This window comes from Homo sapiens, chromosome 21 (genome assembly GCF_000001405.40).
Source record: "Homo sapiens chromosome 21, GRCh38.p14 Primary Assembly".
Lineage (NCBI taxonomy): Eukaryota > Metazoa > Chordata > Mammalia > Primates > Hominidae > Homo > Homo sapiens.
In genome coordinates, this window is record NC_000021.9 from 21379259 (window position 1) to 21402922 (window position 23664).

The 23664-nt window shown below is 36.2% G+C and overlaps 1 protein-coding gene across 17 annotated transcripts in view; it reads left to right on the forward strand.

Annotated features, from left to right (window-relative positions):
- Positions 1–23664, forward strand: part of NCAM2 (neural cell adhesion molecule 2) — a 544921-nt gene that overhangs the window by 380850 nt on the left and 140407 nt on the right. The window contains exon 11 of one of the 17 annotated variants that reach the window (NM_001352597.2): positions 6346–6416. The exons of the other annotated variants lie outside the window; for them this stretch is intronic. Within the exon in view, the coding sequence (NP_001339526.1) occupies positions 6346–6350 (5 nt within the window). The 3' untranslated portion in view covers positions 6351–6416. Of the gene's footprint in view, positions 1–6345; positions 6417–23664 lie in introns of those variants that run through there. 17 annotated transcript variants of the gene reach the window in all.

The following is a 23664-nucleotide window of genomic DNA, read 5'->3' on the forward strand; positions in this document are numbered from 1 at the left end:
TTTGATGATTCTGGCTTTATCTTCATTATTTCCTTTCTTCTATGTATTTTGAATTCACCATGCACTTAGTTGTAGATTTTTTAGGTGGAATCTTAGTATATGTATTTTAGATAATTCTTATTTTCTAATAGAATCACATAACTCCAGATTTTCACTAAGCAGTGCTTTAACGGAACCCCCCAATATTGTAGTATGTTGCATTTTTGTTGTGATTCAGCTAAAAATATAATTTTCCATTTGATTTCAACTTTGGCTCATAGTTATGTACAAGAATCTGTTTAACTTTCAGATATTTGGATTTTTCCTTGATATTTTGCTGTTATTGATTTCTAATTTAGTTCAGTTGTGCTCAGAAAACCCTGTATTTTTTATTTTTATATGTATAAAGATTTTATTTATATCCCACCATATTAACTATTTTGGTGAATAGACGATTTTACTTGAAAAGCACATATATTCTGTAGTTGTTATTGTGTTTTAATGTCAGTTAGATCAAGGTAAATTATGGTATTTGCACTCATCAGGATTCCTTAGAGGGACAGAATAAGATATATATGTATATATATATATGAGTTTATTAAAGAGTATTAACTCACTCCATCACAAGGTGCCACAATAAGCCATCTGCAGCCTGAGGACCAAGAAACCCAGTCCGAGTCCCATAGCTGAAGAACTTGTCCAATGTTCGAGGACAGGAGGCATCCAGCATGGAAGAAAGATGTAGGCTGGGCGGCTAGGCCAGTCTAGTCTTTTCACGTTTTTCTGCCTGCTTTATATTCTGGCCATGTTGGCAGCTGATTAGATGGTGCCCACCCAGATTAAGGGTGGGTCTGCCTTTTCCAGTCCACTGACTCAAATGTTAATCTCCTTTGGCAACACCCTGGCAGATACACCCAAGAGCAATACTTTGCATCCTTCAATCCAGTCAAGTTGACCTTCAGTATTAACCATCACAGTATTGTTTAAAACTTCTATCCTTACTGAATTTTTATTATAGCTGTTTGATCACATTAAGAGGTATTAAAATCTTCTACCATGACTGTGAACTATTTTTTCTCTCTTTTCTTTGCATTATGTATTTTGAGGCTTACAATGAGACACATAAACATTTATACTTTGTGTGTTGTGTTACTTTCCTGTTGCTGCTGTAATCAATTACAAAAGACTTAGTTGTATAATAAAACAAATTTATTGTCTTAACCATTTTGGAAGTCAGAGGTCTGAAATGATTCTCACTGGGCTAAAATCATGTGTGGGTCGGGCTGTGTTCCCTTGTGGAAGCTCCAGAAGGATTCTGTTTTCTTGTTTTTTTTTTCAGCTTCTCTGAGGCTGCCCACATTCCTTGCCTCATGGATTCCTTCCTTTCTCAGAGCCTGCAATGGCAGATCTAGTCTTTCTCACATCATATCACTCTGACTCTTTTTTCTTCTTCACAAGTCCATCTCTGTCTCAAACTTTCCTTGCAATTAATTGCATCCACTTGGATAATTCAAGATAACTTTCTCATGTCAACATCTTTACCTTGGTCGCAGCTGGTAATGTGTTTGCAGTTTCCGAAGGTAAAGGTGTCAGTATCTTTGGGAGGTCGTTATTCTCCCTCCCGTTTGTGTCTTTATGAATATCCCCTTTCATCAGAATTAAATACCTCTCTTTTTCTCTGCTGATCTCTCACTTGACATATCTTAGCTAATAATCAAATATCTACGCTAGCCCTCTTATGCTTTTTGTTTGTATAACACTTTCCATTCATTTACTTTTAACCTGTCTGCATTTTTATGTGAAATTAAAATGTGTCTTTTTAGGCAGCATATGATAGAATATTGCTTTCTCATTGACTGTAAATCTCCTTATAATTGGAGTGTTTAACAAGCAGTCAGTAATTAACAGGGTCAGGGAATAAATATTTTACTTTTTCTGGGCTACATACAGTCTCTGCCATATTTTTTTTTCTCTTGTAAACCATGAAAAATGTAAAGACCATCCTCATCTCTGAGTCACATATAAAAGAAGCCCTTGGGCAAGACTTTGCCCATGGGCTATAATTTGCCATCCACTGGTTTAGGCTATTAAGTTTAATGCCATTGTTGTTACTATTTCAATTAGGCCTACAATTTTTATTTATATTCTGTTTTTTTTCCTATGTTTTTTTCACATTCTATGCCCATTTTTCTGCCTTCTATTGAGTTATTCGAAGTTTTAGTATTTGATTTTAATTTATATATTGGCAATATTTTTGGTTTTTGTTTTGTTTCATTTTGTTTTGTTTTAAGCGATTCTATAGGAATTTTAAAATACAAACCTACATTTTCAAAGTTTCCTTGAAATAGACTTGAGTTCATATTTTGACACTTTACATAAAATGTGAAACATTGCAACCATTTGGATTCCTTACACACACCTTATCTAATTATCTTTTTGACATCATGCATTACATCTCAAATCATTAAAAATCCCATCAGGAATTAAGATATTTTTTCTTTTAAGTAGTTACGCATATTTTAAAGAACTAAAAAAATATTTTATATGTATTCATCTATATGTGGTTTCTTTATTCTTCCTTCATTTTTGAAGATCCCAATTTTTTTTCATCTGAAGAAGTTTCTTCTCCATTTCTTGTAGAGCAGATTTTCCAGAGATAAATTCCATTAATTTATCTTTCATCAAATGTCCACTACACCTCTTCCTTCCTATTTCTGAAGGATTGTTTTTCTTTGCTCTTGAGAATTCTACATTGACATTTCTTTAAGCATGGGGTTTCACTATCTTCTAGTCTCCTCTGTTTTCAAAGAGAAAGCCATATAAATTGACCCATTGTTCCCTCATATGCCATATATCATTTTATCTAACTGCTTTAAAGCTATTTTCTTTACCTTTGTTATTTATCAATTTGATTAGGATAAGTCTAAGTATTGTTTTCTTTGAATTTTCTTATTTGGAGTGTACTGAGCTTCTGGAATGTGGGGATTTATATTTGTCAATATGCTTGAGCCACTATTTCTTTCTGGCCACTATTTCTGCAATTTTTTTGTGTGTGTAATCTCTTACTAATCTCTGGAACTTTACTTACACATATGTTATACCCTTTGAAATTGTTTCACAGGCTCATGATATACTTTTCAGTTTTATCTATCTCATTTCTCACTGCCCTTCCAATTAGGTAATGTTCTCTTGTTTCCTCTTCAAGTCAACTGACTCTTTACCCCATCATCTCGTTTCTGCTGGTGAGCCAATAGTGAAAGTTTTTGTTTTATTTCAGGGATTTTTTTTTTTTTTTTGAGATGGAGTCTTGCTTTGTCGCCCAGGCTGGAGTGCAATGGTGTGATCTCCGCTCACCGCAACCTTCACCTCCTGGGTTCAAGCGATTCTCCTGCCCCAACCTTCTGAGTAGCTGGGATTACAGGTGCGTGCCACCATGCGAGGCTAATTTTGTTTTGTTTTGTTTTTTGTATTTTTAGTAGAGACGGGGTTTCGCCATGTTGGCCAAGCTGGTCTCAGACTCCTGACCTCGTGATCTGTCTGTCTCGGCCTCCCAAAGAGCTAGGATTACAGGCGGGAGCCACTGCGACTGGCCCAAATAGTATTTTTTTTTTTTAAGTTCTAAAATTTCAATTTGCTCCATTTTATTCTTTCTGTCTTTTTACTGAGAAGTCCTATAGTTTCATCCATTTCATTTTATCTATTTTAGAATATATACATTTTCTTCACCTCATAAATGATAAGCAAAGCTGCTCTAAAATAGTTGCTCTAAAATCTACTATCTGATAAATTTAACATCTAGGTCATTTTAGTATTTGCATGTGTTTGTTGTATTGTTCCTTTACAATTCACCTCACTGTACTGGTTGTCAAAAAATACTGAATTGTGTCCTGGATATTGTAAATATTATGTTGTGCATTCTCTGTATCTTTAGATAAATATGTGGGGATTTTATTTTTCAAGGAGTTAATCACCTCTAAGTTTTGTGTTCCATCCTGTCAGCAGTGACTCAAACCTCAAGTGATTTCTCAAAGCTTTTGCTGTGCTGGTTTGTGCGTGCAGAGCTAGGGCATAGGCTAAAATTTCTGTGGGTTTTTACACAGAATTTTGACATACCCTTCTCTGACTCCTAGCTGAGATTACCCTCACACTCTCCAACATTATGTATGCTTTTTTCCAAGATACCTCTGTCCTTCTGGACAAGTTTTAGTTACCACGATCACTTTGAACCTCTTCAACTAGGGCCCGTCCCCTGGGAAAAGCCTTGAGAGAAAAACAAAGAAAAAAAATGGAAGCTAGTTTTCATTTCCCATCACAATCTTCCTGATTTTTTTCCTCTTGAGAACCCTTGGATAGTTGTTTTTGAAATTTATTTCATATTATTTTCAGAGTTCTAAATTCTTATTAGTAGTGAAGATGTACTATCTTGGGTTTCAGCTGCCATTATATAATGAAAAATCTTTATATATTCTACTTCTAGTACAACTTTAAAGCATTAATATATTTGGTATGTCTAGTGTCTGGAACCAATAACCTACGTGTTTTAGTTTCAGTTTTCAGCAGTATTTTTATTATTTTTCTTTTTTAAAATTTATTTTTCACATTGTTTAGAGTATTTTACATCATATATTCTCAAAAACATTATTTTTGTAATGTAAGATTGTTTAAACTACAAAATTTAAAAAAGTGTTTAAGTATCTTTTCTTTCTGTCAGTGTATCAGTCCTTTGGACAGTCAATTTTGTTTAATATTTTCTTCATTAGCCTGGTGTTTGTTGACATGTTTACATAGAGACAAAAACTATCTTCATGAAAACTGTAATAAGTTTACTGGTAGATATATAAGTATTTTAAATTTTAATTTGAAAGATATTATAACTTTAGCTGAATTTAGAGTTATATGTTTAAAGTCTTAAATAGTATCCTTTAACTATAAAACGTTATTTCTACTCATATAGAATGAATTTCACATAAAGCAAAAGAAAATCTTTAAGATCACTAAACAAATTCTCAAATTTTGTCATGGATTATATTTACATATTTTATTTTATTTTTTATTTCTATTGAAAGTTTTTTTTCTTATGGATCTAACCTATGCTTGATGAATGCCATTTTTAGACTGGTTATTAATGTCTTACATGTTTGTTATAAATTACTTGTGAGTCTCTAGCAGTCTAGTTTCCTTTTTGATTAATCTAGATTCTTATAGTATTTCTTTACATACATTCCTGAAAATTTATTATTTTTCACAATTAAAGTTACTCATGAATTCCAGGAAAATACCAAATATATTGGAAATCTACCTCACGTTTCCAAACTTTTGCTACATATAAGAATAAATTTTTAACTTTAGCATGATACTGACTTGCTCATATATTTGCCTAACCTCTTCACTATTGTAGATACAAGATTATTACCTTCTAAGTGACCTATAATTAATTGAAAGACCAAATCATGTAAATAATGTTTAAAGTAGATGAACACGATGATAGAAAATTCACTTATGGTAAATTATATAAATATGCTAGTGAAAGATTGATGAATACTTAAGTAGAAAGTAATATAATTCTTAATATTAATTTCATTAGTTGCTACAGTTCAGGTTTTATTTTTTGTAATAGAAATAGAAAAAATATCACGAGATATATGTCTACATTTAGTGGGGTATTGGGTTAGATAACCATTTGGAATATGTAACCATGATTGTAATTTAAAATTTAGCCTGTCCTCTCTTTTAGTTACACTCCTTTTAAGCCTGTATGATTGTATTATGAAAGTTGAAACTTGTTTTTTTTTACGTTTATGCCACCACTATTTATTAAATCTTAATTCCCTTTATGTGAAGATTATGACACATTTTTAGTTGTATATTGCAATCAAATGCCCATGATATATGTGGAAGTTGTCTAATAAGTATATTTTTTGGCAGTTGAAGCCTGGTTTGTTATTAGATATTTTATTTCGCAACAAATTCATAATAGTAATAAAACTCTTAGTACCTTATGTGAAAGGCCACAAAAAGCTATTGTCGTAATTAAATATTTACCTATTAATAAAGCTCAGAATACTTTTGTTATGCATCATGGCCATCAAAGTTGTATGGAGACAAAAAATTACAAAGACATTACACAATGTTAAACACACACACACACACACACACACACACGCACACACACATACACACACACAATTACCAGAACAGTCTTATACCACCTGAACCAAGCACCTACAGGGTAATACTGCTAAGAGTGAGTAGAAAAGAGTCAAACCATTTATAATTTGATAGAAGCCGCATTTACTGTAATAGCACTAAACTTAAGGTGTTAGAAAATTAAGCCTTTTTTTGCTCAAAACCTCTTTTGTGTTTCAGCTTAAACAGATTTCTTGGCATTCTTCCAGTTCATTTTCAACATTTCCGAGGCGTTACTTTACTAAGAAGCAGGAATTGAACTAAACTTCCAATTTCTAAAACAAAGGAGAAAACAGGCATGTGATATACAGTTTAATGCAGTAAGCACTGGTTACATAGTATGTTTGATTACAATTAGAATATCATTAAGTTTTGTGACTAGGTAATCATTACATAGTAACTATTAATTAGACTTAATTATTTTATGTATAAATTTAATTTAACAGTTACATACTAACAATGCATGCTAAGAAATATTAGAAATTTTCATTTACTTTTTTTTTCTATTTGAGCTTGCTGCACCTGCCTTTAATTCTCCTTAGACATAATGGTGATTTGTAAATGCATTTTCTCCTGTAGTATAAAAGAGAGAGTTAGCAGTATCAGATACATTCTAAGGTTATGGTTACATTAAATAATCCCATAACACAGAATCATGTTACTTATTTACATGCTGTCCATATAATTAATAGATGTGTGCTTTATTGAGTAATTCTTATCTCAAATTCTCTGAATATAACAGTGGATGTACATTCTCTATATATAAAGTGATTTTACTAGCATGATTGGTTAGATGTATAGGATGAGGTAAATAAGATGTGAACATAATTTAAACATATAAAGAAGCTTATTTCAGTAAACACTTAGAAATTAGAAAAATTCCTTGGTCATAGCAGACACACATTTTATATCTGTGATTAAAATCTTGTCTTATGACCCTGACTTTTACACTCACCATAGTACATTTAAGCCAATGAAACTTTAAAGAAGATGGCTCATTTGCAGACATAAATTGGTTCTACTGCCTGCAACTATTTAGGTTTTATGTCCAGTATGGTAATTTCAAGGACAGCAACTGAGAAAAATGGAAAGCATATCTCTTCATCCAGAAGATAAAAAGAACAGACCATTAAAAAAGAAAGGTGAAGAGTCTTTTATTGTTAAGCTGTAGATTTTTAACCCAAACTTTATGTGAGCCCCCTGGGAAAATGTGAAATACCACATTCTTCATGTGTATAGATACTGTCGATTGTCCTCGTTTTATAACATTATTGTCTCTCTGACAGGTGTTATTTGATTCAGATCAGATCTTGTTAAAATGTATTTCAGAGATAATGGTAAGAAAATTTTTAAGGAACTTTAGGAAATATTCAATCCTTGAGATGATAAGCCTTAGAAGTGAACAAACAGCAAACAAATAAATAAAAACATATTTTGTAACTGGATTTATCACTGCCTGTTGGCGTCTGTTTAACAGTCAGAAATACTAAAGTCTACTTGAATCTTACCCTTGCTTTCTGTCCTTTCTCTGGAATGAAGACCTTGCCCTGGGAATCCCAGTTCTCACTGGGACAATGAATATCTTAGTTCAAGCTGCTGTACTAAAATAGCACAGATAGGGTGGGTTAAACAACAAACATTTATTTCTCTAAATCTAGGGGCTATAAGTTGGAGATTAGGATGCTAGCACGGTTGGGTGACTGGTAAGGGCCCTCTTTTTGGTTATGTACTGGCATGGCCTTTACTTGGTGCGCACACACACATACACACACACACACACACACACACACACACACACACAAATCTGGTGTCCCTTTCTCTTTTTATAAGGGCAGTAATCCCATCACAGGTGTTTCACCCTCATAACGTCACTTAAACCTAATTGCTCCCCAAAGGCCCTACTTCCAAATACCATTACTTTGAGGGTTAGGAATTTAACATAGCAATTTAGGGAGGACACAAGCATTCAGTGAGCTTTCTGGGTTTAACAGAGAAGACACCTCATGGATAGGACAAGTACAGAATTTCCACAGCGTGAGGGGACAGCAAGTCATCTGCCACAAGGTCTTAGTGTATCTTTCAGGATATTCAAGACAAAAAAAAAACTCAGTGAAGTCTGTAACAGCTCAGTATGATGTGATCTCAGCCTCACACTGTTCATATGGATCTAATCCTAAAACATTGGTTAATTCATTTAAATTACCAAGTTTCAATTTCCCATTTTGTAAAGTGAAAGAGACATATCTATGAATTAAGGCATACTGAGGTTAGGGTTGTAATTAAATTTTTTCAACAATATGAATCAGCCGTATGGTACACACCAAGCCCTCTTCTAGGATTTTAGTGTATAGAATTGAATAAAGCAAACAAACACCCCTGCTTTCATGGACATTGGCAAGAGAAACCAATGACTTTAAAAAATAAAGTAGAAAAATAATGTGGGAAACAGTGAGAAAGTCTAAGGAAGAAAAAAGTAAAACAGTGCAGTGAGACACATCAGTCAGCTTGCCATAATAATTATGCATCATAAACACCCAAAAACACAGTGTCATACGATAATTATCACGTTGGAAACTGCTGATCAAAGCCAGGTTTGAATAAGGAGCTTGGCTTCAAACAGCAGTGCTTGACTCATTGGTATGGATCCAGTAACACATATAACCAGGCTGAAGAGGCAATAAGTACAGAGAGGATATCATCTTATGGTGATGGCAGAAGCACAAGAAAACAAGCCCGACAACAAAGACATATTTAAAGTGTTTGTTCACATCACATCCAAAAATGTCATGTGGCTAAGCCAAACATCAGTTCATCAGGGTAATACACTAGCCTTCTATTTGGAGGTCTTTTGGAGTGAAATTTTGCTAAACAATTTAATCCATATCAGACATATATGCTTGTGGGTGAAATTTTAGGTAGATAAAGAAAATATGGTAAGAGAGGGACCTGCTGCAAATGTAGGAAAAGTACATTCCAGGCAGAGGGAACAAGGGCAGATTATTCAAGCAAGAGCAATTCTAGGAAATTCAAGAGGCAGCGCAGAGGCTAATGTTGCTGAAGCTGAATAAGCAAGGGTCAGAGAGGAGGGGAAGATGAGGCCATGAAGTTAACAAGCTGCCAGATGTTATAGAGATGTGCTGTCCAGTCCGGCAGCCACTTGTTACATATGGCTATGGAGCACTGGAAATGCTGCCGGTACAACTGAGCAACTGAAATTTTGATTTCTTTTTACTTTAATTAACTTAAATTTAAAATGTGATGCTCGATTTAGTTATTGGAAAACTTTTAAGTAGTTTTGGAACAAATTGAGTATGTGAATCTGTTTATTCGGTTGTACATTATATAAAATCTAAATGCAGAAGAGGCTTTCCCAATACAAATCTAGTGGCTTATTTGAGATATGCTGTAAGTGTAAAGTACACAACAGGTTTTGAACTCTTAGAACAAAAAATAAAGGATATAAAATATCTCACTAACTATATCTCACTAATTTTGTTACTTATTTTTAATTTATATGGATATGTATTAGTTGTATGTATTTAAGGGATCCATGCTACATTCTAATGCAAGCAAAAGTGTGTAATCCTCAAATCTGGGTAACTGGGATATCCCTCACTTCAAACAGTTATCATTTCTTTGTGTTGAGAACTGTACGAGTCTGTTCTCACGTTGCTAATAAAGGCATACCGTAGACTGGTCATTTATAAAAGAAAAAGATGTAATCAACTCACAGTTCCACATGGGTGGGGGGAAGCCTTACAATCATTGCTGAAGGCAAATGAGGAGCAAAGTCATGTCTTACATGGTGGCAGGCAAGAGAGTGTGTGCACGGGAATTCCCTTTAAAAAAGCATCAGATGTTATGAGACTTACTCAGTATCACAAGAACAGCACTGGAAAGACCCACTCCCATGATTCAGTTACCTCCCACCAATCCCCTTCCATGACACATGGGAATTATGGTAGCTACAATTCAAGATGAGATTTGAGTAGGGACACAGCTAAACCATATTGGGAACATTCTAAGTCTTATAGCTATTTTGACATATACAGTAAGTTATTGTTAACTATAGTTGCCCTCTTGTGCTACCAATCACTACGTCTTATTCCTCCTATCTAACTGCAATTTTGTACCCATTAACCAATCTCTCTTCATTTTTCCCTGCTCAATATCCTTTCCAGCCTCTGGTAACCACCATTCTATTCTTCCTCCATGAGATCAGTTTTTTCAGCTCCCAAATATAAGTGAGAACATTGTCTTTTACCGCCTGACTTATTTCACTCAGTGTCCTCTGGTTTCGTCTATATTGCTGCAAATAATAAGATTTCATTCTCTTTTATGGCTGAATAACATTCCATTGTGTACGTGTCTCACATTTTCTTTATCCATTCATGCACTGGTGAACACTTAGGTTGATTCCATATTATGGCTATTATTATTATTATGAGGCGGAGTCTCACTCTGTTGCCAGGCTATAGTGCAGTGGCACGATCTTGGCTTACTGCAACCTCCACCTCTCCGGTTCAAGCTATTCTCCTGCCTCAGCCTCCCGAGTAGCTGGGACTACAGTCACGTGCCACCATGCCCAGCTAATTTTTGTATTTTTAGTAGCGACAGGCTTTGACCATGTTGACCAGGATGGTCTCTATCTCTTGACCTCATGATCCACCCTCCTCGGCCTCCCAAAGTGCTGGGATTACAGGTGCGAGCCACCGCGCCACCTGGCTATTATTTTTTTTTATATTGACTACGTGTTGAAATTATACCACTGTAAATATATTGGCTTGCATTATGTTATTACAATTAATTTGACCTTTATTCTGTTTCTTTTTCAGTATGGCTCTTAGAAAATTTAACATTGCATAGGTGGCTCCCATTGCCATTGTCTATATTAGACAGCACTAATATAGAGCTTTATAATATCAAGGAGGACTTTGAAAAGGATGAGAGGCCACTGGAGAGTTCTGATCGGAGGTACAAGCAGTCTTCTCAGATCATATTTTAAGTGAATGACCTTTGCTTCAGAGCTGAGAATAGACTGAAAGGGGTACAAAGGCAGAAGCAAGGGAGGGACACCAGTAGGGAGACTATTGCAAGACATCAAGTGCATTTCATAGTGTTATTGTAATTTACATCACCTTAACATAAATGTATATAACTATTAGTGAACATCGTTTTAAAAAGAACAAATAACATATTCAGTATATATTAATTAGAATGGATTACATTAAAGACAAGAATTGAGTTTGTTATATATTTTTCTTTATTCAAATCATTTCAAGAATTTATAAAAACAACTCGACTGTATTTTTAAGAAATGCATGCAATTCTAGAAAGCAAGAGAAAAACATTAATCACAGGGAAATATTACATTCTAGGTATAATGTAAAATTGTGCTTTTTTATGCTAAATGTATGGTCAAAAGAGTAATGTGCCTAGTTTTAAAATAGTATTCACCTTTGTGAAAATATGCACACCTATATTTTTCTCTAAGTGGTTTCCAACTTGCTTGGATAATCATCACATATTGATAAGAAAAACAAACAATATTTCTGTAAGTTGTCTTAAAGTTATTCAAGAAGAAAATGGTATTTCTGTATATTCGTTTAAAAACCTTTGATTTTAGTTATTCAATTTAATAATATTTAGTCGAGTGTGGTAGTGCATGCATGTAATCACACCTCCTCAGGAGGCTGAGGCAGGAGGATCATTTGAACACAGACGTTCAAGACCAGCCTGAGCAATACAGCAAGACCCCATCTCAAGTAATAATAGTAATAATAGAAATAATAATAATATTTATTGTACAACACTAGAAATAGACTGTTAGTATTTTTCAAACATGCAAATAATTGAACATACTTACAAATATTTCAATAAGTCTAGGGAACCGGAATCTACTTATGTAGAATAGCTTAGAAAGCATCATAAATTAACATACAACTTAATGTGCTTATAAGAAAATATGTGTCATAGATAGTATACAAATGAGCAATAAGAGAAAAAACTCTTTGAAAGGTAACATCATCACAGTATTTTGAAGTAGAACCTAAGGAGGAGATAATATTGAATCTGAGTCTAATACAACATTAAAACAATAATGATCAGATAATAATTAATCTGAATCAAATGTGATATTAAAACATACATGACTAATTCAGATTAGTGTATTTATTCACATAGATCCCTTCATTGCAAATTTACAGCTCACCAACACTAACATGTCTTCTCTCTGCTTTAGTATTGTGGACATGAAAAATTTCCTGCCCTTGGAATGAAGATGAAGGCTTAATCAGAGCAAATCTCCTCTTTAAATCATTATTTTTAGTACTCTTGGTATCTCAGAATTCTTCACATGCAACAGAATTTGAAACATTGCTGGTTAGGTACAAGTTATTTTTATGATAATCCTCTTTGTTTAAATGATCTTTGATGTTTCTTGGGCTGCTAATAATTTTGCTAAGATTGTAAGAGCAATTATCAATGAGTTCAGTCTAATGCCAAAAAAAAATTCTTATTTTTAAAAAACTTTTAAATTCAGGGGTACAAGTACTGGTTTGTTACACAGGTAAACCTGAGTCAGAGGGTTTGTGTGTCTGTGTGTGTACAGATTATTTCATCACCCAGGTATTAAGCCTAGTACCTATTAGTTATTTTTCCTGATCCTCTCCACCTCCCACCCTCCACCCTTTGATAGTTCCCAGTGTGTGTTGTTCCCCTGTATGTGTCCATGTATTCTCATCATTTAACTCCAACTTATAAGTGAGAACATGCAATAATTGGTTGTCTGTTCCTAAGTTAGTTTGCTAAGGATAATGGCCACCAGATCCATCTATGTCCCTGCAGAGGACATGACATCATTCTTTTTTATGGCTACATAGTATTCCGTGGTGAACATGTACCACATTTTCTTTATCCAGTCTATCATTGATGGACATTTAGGTTGAATCCATGTCTTTGCTATTGTGAATAGTGCTGCAGTGAACATACAAATGAATGTGTCTTTATACTAGAATGATTTACATTCCTTTGGGTATATACCCAGTAATGGGATTGCTGAGTTGATTGGTATTTCTGTCTTTAGGTTTTGAAGAATCCCCACACAGTCTTCCACAATGGCTGAACTAATATACACTGCCACCAACAGTGTAACAGTGTTCCTTTTTCTCCACAACCTAGCCAGGGTCTGTTGTTTTTGACTTTTTAATAATAGTCATTCTCACTGATGTGAGATGGGTATCTCATTGTGGTTTCGATTTGCATTTCCCTAATGATCAGTGATATTGAGCTTTTTATCAAATGATTGTTGGCCACATGTATGTCCTCTTTTGAGAAGTGTCTGTTCATGTTCTTTGCCCACTTTTTAATGGGGTTGGTTTTTTTCTTGTAAATTTGTTTAAGTTTCTTAGAGATGCTAGATATTAGACCTTTATCAAATGCATAGTTTGCAAACATTTTCTTCCATTCTGTAGGTTGTTTTATTACTCTGTTGATAGTTTATTTTGCTGTGCTAGAAGCTCTTTAGTTTAATTATACCCCGTCAATTTTTCCTTTTGTTGCAATTGCTTTTGGCATCTTCATCATGAAATCTTTGCCCATGTCTATGTCCTGAATGATATTATCTAGGTTGCCTTCCAGGGTTTTTATACTTTTGGGATTTACATATAAGTCTTTCATCCATCTTGAGTTAATTTTTGTATACAGTATAAGGAAGGGGTCCACTTTCAGTCTTCTGCATATGGCTAGCCAGTTATCCCAGCACCATTTATTGAATAGGGAATCCTTTTCCCATTGCTTATTTTTGTCAAGTTTGTTGAAGATCAGGTAGTTATAGATGTGCATTCTTATTTCTGAGTTCCCAATTCTGCTCCATTGGTCTATATGTCTGCTCTTGTATCAGTACCATGCTGTTTTGGTTATTGTAGCCCTGTAGCTTTTCTGTGATTTTTTCCAGATAGTATAAAATGTTTAATTTCTATGATGCAAATACTAGGGCGATCAATGCTAAAACGGTTGTCCTGTACAATTTTTTCTTACCATACCAAAATTTTTTCTTATGACTGTTTATTTTAATTATTTTAAGAGATCTTTATTAACCTAATAAGTATTGGATATGTAAAATTTAAAGATAATATCTTAATAAACCAAGATTTTAATTTTATTTGGATATATGCAGGTTTGTTTTGAAAGGCAAATTCTGAAAAAACAGGCATTATATTATTTATGAAACAACTTGAATACTGATATATCTATATCACCAGTAATTCTTCCTTTGATAACTCAGAAGTTTTTATGAAAGAGGTTCATTTAATCTTTGTTTTCTAAATACATAGGTGAAATTATACTTAAAAATGATACAGCTATTCATGAAAAATTCAAATATATAACATAACCAATAGAAGACAAATTAGCCATTGGAAGTACAGCTACAATATTTTTATTCATATTTTATGTATGATTTGATGAAGGAAAGATATTCTGATTAGAAAAAGGAGAATAATATTAGAAATATGAATAATTCACCTTACTTATCAAATTTTTCTTATGACCAGTAAATGTTTTATCATGAATGAAAGTCAAATTAGAGAGAAAGCCAGTATGTGCTAAGAAGTCACATATAGGTATTCCTTAATAAAAATTACTCTTGTGACTCAAGGATCATAAAATATGCTGAGATGTATGCATAACTTGGCTGTTTAAAATTAGAACAAAAACTGCATATCCAGTGTTATGGTTAACTGGAAATAAGCACACATCTAATTTAGTATTCCACATAGCCATTAGAATTCCCATGGTACATGGACTGAATCCAGTTAATTGTCATAGCTTTTTCTACATATGACAGAACACAGAGAACTGGATCTATGAAATCATTAATTGAATTACCCTTTAAATGTGCCAAAAGATATATTAGTTTTTACTCCCTTGGTAGTTTCCCTCAGCATAAATCAAATGAGAAAATTTAAATGACTGAAAAAAAAGAACAGTGAGTGTTACAGGTTATTTTAAATGTGCAGTTAGACCTTAGTTAATTTAAGGGGCCAGCTTTTTTTTTTTTTTTTTTTTTTTTTTTTTTTTTTTTTGAGACAGAGTTGCGCTCTGTTGCCCAGGCTGGACTGCAGTGGTGCAATCTTGGCTCACTGCAAGCTCCGCCTCCCGGGTTCACGCCATTCTCCTGCCTCAGCCTCCAGAGTAGCTGGGACTACAGGTGCCCGCCACCACACCCGCTAATTTTTTGTATTTTTAGTAGAGACGGGGTTTCACTGTGTTAGCCAGGATGGTCTCGATCTCCTGACCTCGTGATCCTCCTGCCTCGGCCTCCCAAAGTGCTGGGCCAGCTTCTTTACAAAATAATTATAAAGGTCTAAGAAAGACAATCTATTACAATAGATATAACACTGGATTGAAGTCCAAATTTCTGTGTCTTTAGAAATATCAAACAAATGTGGGTGTATTTCTCATCTTCTTTTAAATGGAGTGATGACATCTGGAATACATACTTATCCTGGTTTTCATTCATCCATTTTACTGTTATTGACTGAATAGCTACTTATATTCAGGTGCTGTAGAAGAACTGTGAGGCAAGTAACATTGTTCTTTCCCTCATTGAATGTATAAATTAGGCTGGCTGGGTGTGGTGGCTCACACCTGTAATCCCAACACTTTGGCAGGCCGAGGTAGGTGGATCACCTGAAGTCAGGAGTTCGAGACCAGCCTGGGCAACATGGCGAAACCCCATCTCTATTAAGAATACAAAAAAAATTAGCTGGGCCTGGTGGCGCATGCCTATAATCCCAGCTCTTGGGAGGCTGAGGTAGGAGAATCACTTGAACCTGGGAAGCAGAGGTGACAATGAGATGAGATCACGCCACTGAACTCCTGGCCCACAGCCGGGACAGCAGAGCAAGACTTTGTCTCAAAGAAAAAAAAAGAAAAATAATTTTTAAATTAGGGAGATAGAACATACATGGGTACATTAAAATGAAATATATCAAAGGTGGTTAGGTTTTGACCATACTGCCAAAAGCAGTCTACAAATTCAATGCAATTCTCATCAAAATAACACCATAATTCTTCACAGAATTAGAAAAAATAATTCTAAAATTCATATGGGACCACAAAAGAGCCCTCATAGCCAAAGCAATACTAAGCAGAGAGAACACATCTGGAGGCAACACATTACCCAACTTCAAACTATACTATAAGGCTATAGTCAACAAAACAGCATGGATTAAATAGACACACAGTCCAATGGAACAAAATAGAGAACTCAGAAACAAAGCCAAATACTTACAGCCAACTGATCTTTGACAAAGCAAACAAAAACGTAAAGTGGGGAAAGGACACCCAATTCAACAAACGGTACTGGGATAATTGGCAAGCCACAAGTAGAAGAATGAGACTGGATCCTCATCTCTCACCTTAAACAAAAATCAACTCAAGATAGATCAAAGACTTAAATCTAAGTCCTGAAACCATAAAAATCCTAGAAGATAACATGGGAAAAATCCTCTAGACATTGGCTTAGGCAAAAACTTCATGACCAAGAACCTAAAAGCAAATGCAACAAAAACAAAGATAAATAGATGGGACTTAATTAAGTTAAAAAATTTCTCTACAGAAAAAGAAATAATCGGCCAGTAAACAGACAACCCACAGAGAGGAAGAGAATCTTCACAAACTGTGCATCCGACAAAGGACTAATATCAAGAATCTACAAGGAACCCAAATCAGCAAGAAAAAAAAAAAAATACCATCAATAAGTGGGCTAAGGACATGAACAGGCAATTCTCAAAGAAGATATACAAATGGGCAACAAATATATGTAAAATTCTCAACATTACTAATGATCAAGGAAATGCCAATCAAAACCACAATGTGATACAACCTCCCTCCTGAAAGAATGGCCATAATCAAAAAAATAAAAATACAATAGTGTTAGCACATACATGGTGAAAGTGGAACACTTTTAGACTGCTGGTGGGGATGTAGACTAGTAACACTGTCATGGGATCTTTACAGTGTCACTTTGCCAGCCAGAAACTTCTGTGGCTGGTAGTACCTCTGCTTGGGTTTTGCTTGCTTCCACTGGGCTCATTCTGCCCACTCAGCTCATGCTATTGGCCTAGATCCCATACCCGCCAAGGGTGAACCAGGTGGGGAGTGGTGAGGGGTGTATCAGTGGGCGAGTGCAGGGTCCAGCCACTGGGCCCAGCCAGGCACTTCAGCTGCTGTGGTGGGACAGGCAGCTCCAGGTGCCACTCCATGCAAGGCTGAACCAGGTGTATCTCAAGGGGCTTCCACTGTGGGCACAAGCATCTGGACCAGGGGAATGCAGTGGTGCCCGAAAGCTCAGAGACTTCAGGGAGTGAACAGCCCCAAAGATGGTGTTACATCACGCCACAGCCCTGGCATGGGGAGCCCCAAGGTCTAGGCTCCCAGAAGGACCACAGCTCTTCTCTCCTTCTCATTGCCTGCAACGTGGCAAGTAGGGGGCATGTTTCAGTCCTGTTTGTGTTACAGCTCTTTCAGTCCCGCCATTCTGCAGATCCTGAGTTCTTGTCTCATGTCCAAGAAGAATGAGGTATGCAGACAAGTGGTGGGTTAGCAAGGAGGAAAGCAGTTTCATTGAGCTACAGAAAAGCTCTCAGTAGACCCTAAGTGGGTAGCTCTATCCACTGGCAGGTCATCCTGACATCTGTCCAACTCTGGCTGAGTCGGGGTTTTATGGGCTCAGAGGGAGGAAGTGCTGATTGGTCCATGGTTGGCCATGGGTAGGCCTGGAAAAAGCACCAGAAGTTATCACTCTGGGCCACGATTCCACCCAGAACTTATAGCCCTAACTCCAGGCTTCAGGCTCTCCTTGGCTTGAAGGTGGACCCTCAGCTTTCTGCCCAGAAGGCTGTCTGCCTCCTGCTGCCATCAACATGTTGTATATGGCCCCCAGGCTGTTCATGCCAAGGGGTGCCTATAGGCCCCTGCTGAGCCACATTTAGTCTTCCCTCAGCCTCCCTCCTATGCTCCTAGGTGCCCAATGTCCAGAGGGGGTTGAGGTAGCAGGGGTCTGGTGTGTCAGCACCTCCTTGAGTGTGCACACACCTAGGTGGGATGGGACGGCACCTGGGCTGGGCCACAACTTTGCTCCAAAATCGGAGCAGGCACCAGGAATGGAGAGAGGTCAGGGATGGGAGCAGGCACTTCCCAGCCTTTGGGGGAAGGGGGAGTTCCTCACCTCCTGAGAGCAGAGCGCGACTGTGCGGCTGCACATGCACCAGGGAGTGCAGGGCTCCCACCCCACCTACTCGGTAGGAGGCAGGGCTTCTTCCTGTTCCTGGCCCCTGCCGGCTCTGTGGAGTGCACAAACCTGGCCAGACCTCCCCAACTGCAGCTGGCATCTTCACAGTGGCTGCTCCAGATGGGCTGCCACTGCCATCACAACCACTATGGAAAACTGTGTGGAGATTCCTTAAAGAACTAAAAGTAGATCCACTATTTTTCCAACAATGCCACTACTGGGTCATTATATGAAATAAACACTTGCACATGCATGTTTATAGCAGCACAATTAGCAAATGCAAAAATATGGAACCAGCCCAAATGTCCATTAATCAATGAGTGGATAAAGAAAATGTAGTGTGTGCGTGAATACTATTCAGCCATATGAAGGAACAAAATAATGGCATTTGTAGCAGCCTAGTTGGATTTGGAGACCATTATTCTAAGTGACGTAACTCAGGAATGGAATGCCAAACATCAAATGTTCATACTCATAAGTGGGAACTAAGCTATGAGGATGCAAAGGCATAAGAATGATACAATGGACTTTGGGGACTGAAGGGAAAGGGTGAGAGTAGGGTGAGGGATAAAATATTAGACACTGAGTACAGTGTATACTGCTCAGGTGATGGGTACACCAAAATCCCACAAATCAGCACTAAATAACTTATCCTTAGAACCAAACACCACCTGTTCCCCAAAAACCTATTGAAATAAAAAATTAAAATTAAAAAGAAGAAAAAAGGTGATTAGGCAGATTGAGACAGCTAGTACAAAGCACCGAAAGCACAAAAGAGTTCGGGATGATTAAGGTTTAAGAAGAAGAGTTAATTTAAATGTATGCAAGGTCACAAATAAGCCTAGGTTATTTTATGTGAAGCTTTGTAAAGAGTCATAAAAGTTTGGATTTAAGGAGTGTGAATAGGATCTTTAAAAGGTTTTAAGCAGGATAGTTACATTTGCTTAAAGTAGAAACTGGTAGGTGAGTAAGTCAGCAAGGGGCTTCTAAAACTGACCAGGTAGTGACTATGAACTGGGCAAGAGAGCTCATACTAAATATTGAGAGACATGAATGATATTTCTATATATTGTGCTTTAGTGGTGAGAAATCAATGACAAAGCTTTTAAAATTGACACCCTATTATAACCAAATCTAAGTTCAGCTGCTCATCACTTGAAAGCCAAACATGAGAGATGAGAGTTGGCAGGAGGAAAAGCAGGTTTATTCTGAGAGCCAGCAAACCAAGAAAATGGTGGACTAAAATCCCAAAGTACCATATTAAGTCAGTACAAATTTCAGCCTCTTTTTGGTTAAGGGCAGGGAGGGTGAAGAGATGGGGATTAGGATCAAGAGGTGACCAAGGGTGGCAGACATCTGAGTGTCAGTGAGGATCCAATGGGGTTGGAAAATTTTGTCTTTGGTCAAGTCACAATGCTTCCATAAATATTTAATGAGAAATATGGTTAATTTGTACATACTTTTCCTTTAACTCCAGAATTCGTTTTGAAAATTATGATTGCTGTCCTTGCGTATTATGAGCGTTATTAAATTATTCTAGCCTCCATGTAAGAATGGATAAAGGCTCCTTAAACAAAAATGGAGTTAGTTATGACAGTTCTTTTGCTGTTTCACTGTTACACTATTACATGTGAAAATAACTCTTTCTGTTATTTGTAGTTCTTAAAATATAATATTAAAAAGGACATTTGAAAATTGTTTGCCACAGAGTATTATGACTGGAAAAGAGGAAGATATTTCACTCTAGTATGTGAATGCTTTGAAGAGTATGTAGGACATAATCTACAATACAATCATAATACAGTTTTACAAGGATGATGCCTATTCTTATTCTCATCAATATGATTTTTAAAAACTTATTTTTATTATAAATTATTTCCCTAGTAATGCCTTTTCAATTTGATTTAGAAAATGGATTGTATATCGTGAGTTTTATAGTGAGTTACCTGGTTCTAATATTCATGACCTAGTGGAAATTCAGGTCAAAGACTTGTATATTTCAGTTCCCAGAGCCTGTGTTATGCTTTATTATCAGCTTCACCCTGCTCAGACACAGGCAGAATTCAGTAATGCAGGCCAGCACTGAGCAAGAAATAAGACTTTTCTTAGGTCACAGTTACCAACCACAAATAAACTAGGCTCAGAGAAAATATTTCAGAGCCAAAGGAGGAATTACAAAAGAAAGTAGAAAGCTTGCATTAAGCAAGTAATCAAGTCAAGAAATCTCATACTGCAGGAGAATGCAGTGATCAGTACTGACTCCAAGTTCACCTCTAAATCTCAGAATAAGAAAAAAAAGAGGCAGGGAGGGGGCATTTATCAAAACAAGTATAACTTGGTACCAAGTCCAAAGACATGCTTTAAATTGACACCCTATTATAGTTTCTTTGGTGTCTCCTAGTATGGAAAGGATTGGGCTGGAAATAAGCTTGTCCTGAATGAAACATTGAGGAAGGTGACACATTCAGATGCTGGCATATGTTACTGTTTCATGTGATGCTGGCAATGTAATGTCAGAGATTCAGTCAAGGGCATGGATTTAAGAATAAATGTTCTAGGTCAGACTTCTGCCTGTACAGCTGCCATTTAATTAAATCTAAATAATTTATCATTAGGGATCATTTCATTGTGATAACAGCTAAAAGAGCATAGTTCCTTGTTTTTAATGTCTGTAGACACATTACATCTTGTTTGCAGTATTCCTTTTCTTATGGTCTATATAGTAATGCACAATTTTTATTAATTATATACTTATTAAGAAGATTTTGGAGTCTTAAGATAATACATTTACCACCAAGGACTACTGCATTATTTACCCTCATGTAGTCTCTTTTTGTCTGTTTGAAAGATATTCACTTATTAAAATATTTACCAAAAACTTTTTTTTTTTTTTTTGAGATGGAGTCGCCCAGGCTGGAGTGCACTGATGCAATCTTGGCTCACTGCAACCTCCATCTCCTAGGTTCAAGTGATTCTCATGCCTCAGCCTCCCAAGTAGCAGGGATCAAAGGCACCTTATTGTACAAACATATGCGTATCAATGCCTGCATTTGTATGTAGTAAACTACACCAGAGGCTTTTATAAACATGAAATAATTATTATCCCAAGTGGCTTACATAGTTCTTTAGAAAGGCAAATGCCACCTTTTATATGGACTAGTGCTACTTTATGTATCCTAAAAGTAATATGCATGTTTATTTTTTAAATTTGTCCCAGGGTAATTTTAAAGAAATCTTAGAGGTTAAGGAATTTGGGAAGAATTTATCTAGTTCAACTCCTAAATTCTTTAAAGAAAAGAAAAAAAGGCCAAACTTAAAAGCAGAAACTCAAGGTCACATCTTTTCTACTTGACAGAGTTGGCACTCAATTTTGATTGCAAGCTCAATGCTATTTCCAATACAAAATTTTGCTTATGAGCACCAGCCACAAATTTTATTTTGTTTTCATCCACTATTCTCTGTGTGTATGTGTGTGCACATCTCCAGACCTTTTTAATTTAGTTGTATATATTTATGGGTCACAGTGTGATATTTTCATATATGTCTAACAGTGTGGAATGTTTAAATTCTTCACCTCACAATACTCAGCCTTTTTCGTGGTGAGAACATTTGAAATGTACTGTCTTAGCAATTTTTAAACACATGATACACTAACTGTTGTCATCTTATTGGGTAATACATCTCAAAAACTTACTTCTGTTGTCTAACTGAATCTTTGAATCCCTTGGCCAACATCTTTCTATTCCTCTTACCACCATAACCTCTGGTAACCACCAACCTACTGTCCTTTTCTATGAATTTGACTGTTTTTTATTCCACATGTATAAATTAGATTATGCAGTATTTGTGTTTCTGTGCCTGGTTTATTTCACTTAAGATAACATCCTCCAGATTCATTCATGTCATTGAAAATGTCAGAATTTCCTTCTATTTTCATTTTGTATATATACTATGTGTTTTGTATCCATTCATCTACTGATGCACATTTTAATCTGATTTCATGTCTTGACTATTGTGAATAATGCTGCAATTAATATAGGAGTATGGATATCTTTTCTACATACTAATTGAAGTTCCTTTGGACATATACTCACAAGTAGGATAACTGGATAATATGGTAATTGTTGCAGGAAGTCAGGGACCCTGAACAGAGGGACCGGCTGGAGCTGCAGCAGAGGAAACAAATTGTGAAGATTTCATGGACATTTATCACTTCCCTAATAATACTCATAATTTCTTATGCCTGTCTTACTTTAATCTCTTAATCCTGTTATCTTCGTAAGCTGAGGATGTAAGTCACCTCAGGACCCTGTGATGATTGCGTTAACTGTACAAATTGATTGTAAAACATATGTGTTTGAACAATATGAAATGAGTGCACCTTGAAAATGAACAGAATAACAGCGATTTTAGGGAACAAGGGAAGACAACAGTAAGGTCTGACTGCCTGCAGGGTTGGGCAAAAACAGCCATATTTTTCTTCTTGCAGAAAGCCTATAAACGGACATGCAAGTAGGAGAGATATGGCTAAATTCTTTTCCTAGCAAGGAATATAATATTAAGACCCTAGGAAAAGAATTGCATTCCTGGGGGGAGGTCTATAAACGGCCACTCTGTGAGTGTCTATCCTATGTGGTTGAGATAAGGACTGAGATAGGCCCTGGAGTCCTGCAGTACCCTCAGGCTGACTAGGATTGGGAAACCCCAGCCCTGGTAAATTTGAGGTCAGACTGGTTCTCTGCTCTCAAACCCTGTTTTCTGTTAAGATGTTTATCAAGACAATACGTGCAATGCTGAACATAGACCCTTATCAGGAGTTTCTGATTTTGCCCTGGTCCTGTTTCCTCAAAAGCATGTGATCTTTGCTCTGCTTTTTGCCTCTTGAAGCATGTGACCTACTCCCTGTTTGTACACTCCCTCCCCTTTTGAAATCCCTAATAAAAACTTGCTGGTTTTGTGGCTCAGGTGGGCATCATGGACCTACCGATATGAGATGTCACCCCTAGTGGCCCAGCTGTAAAATTCCTCTCTTTGTACTCTTTCTCTTTATTTCTCAGAGTGGCTGACACTTAGGGAAAATATAAAGAACCTACACTGAAATATTGGGGGTGGGTTCCCCTGATAGGTAGTTCCGTTTTTAATTTTTTGAGAAACCTCCATACAGTTTTTCATAATACATGTACTAATTGACATTCCCACCAAAA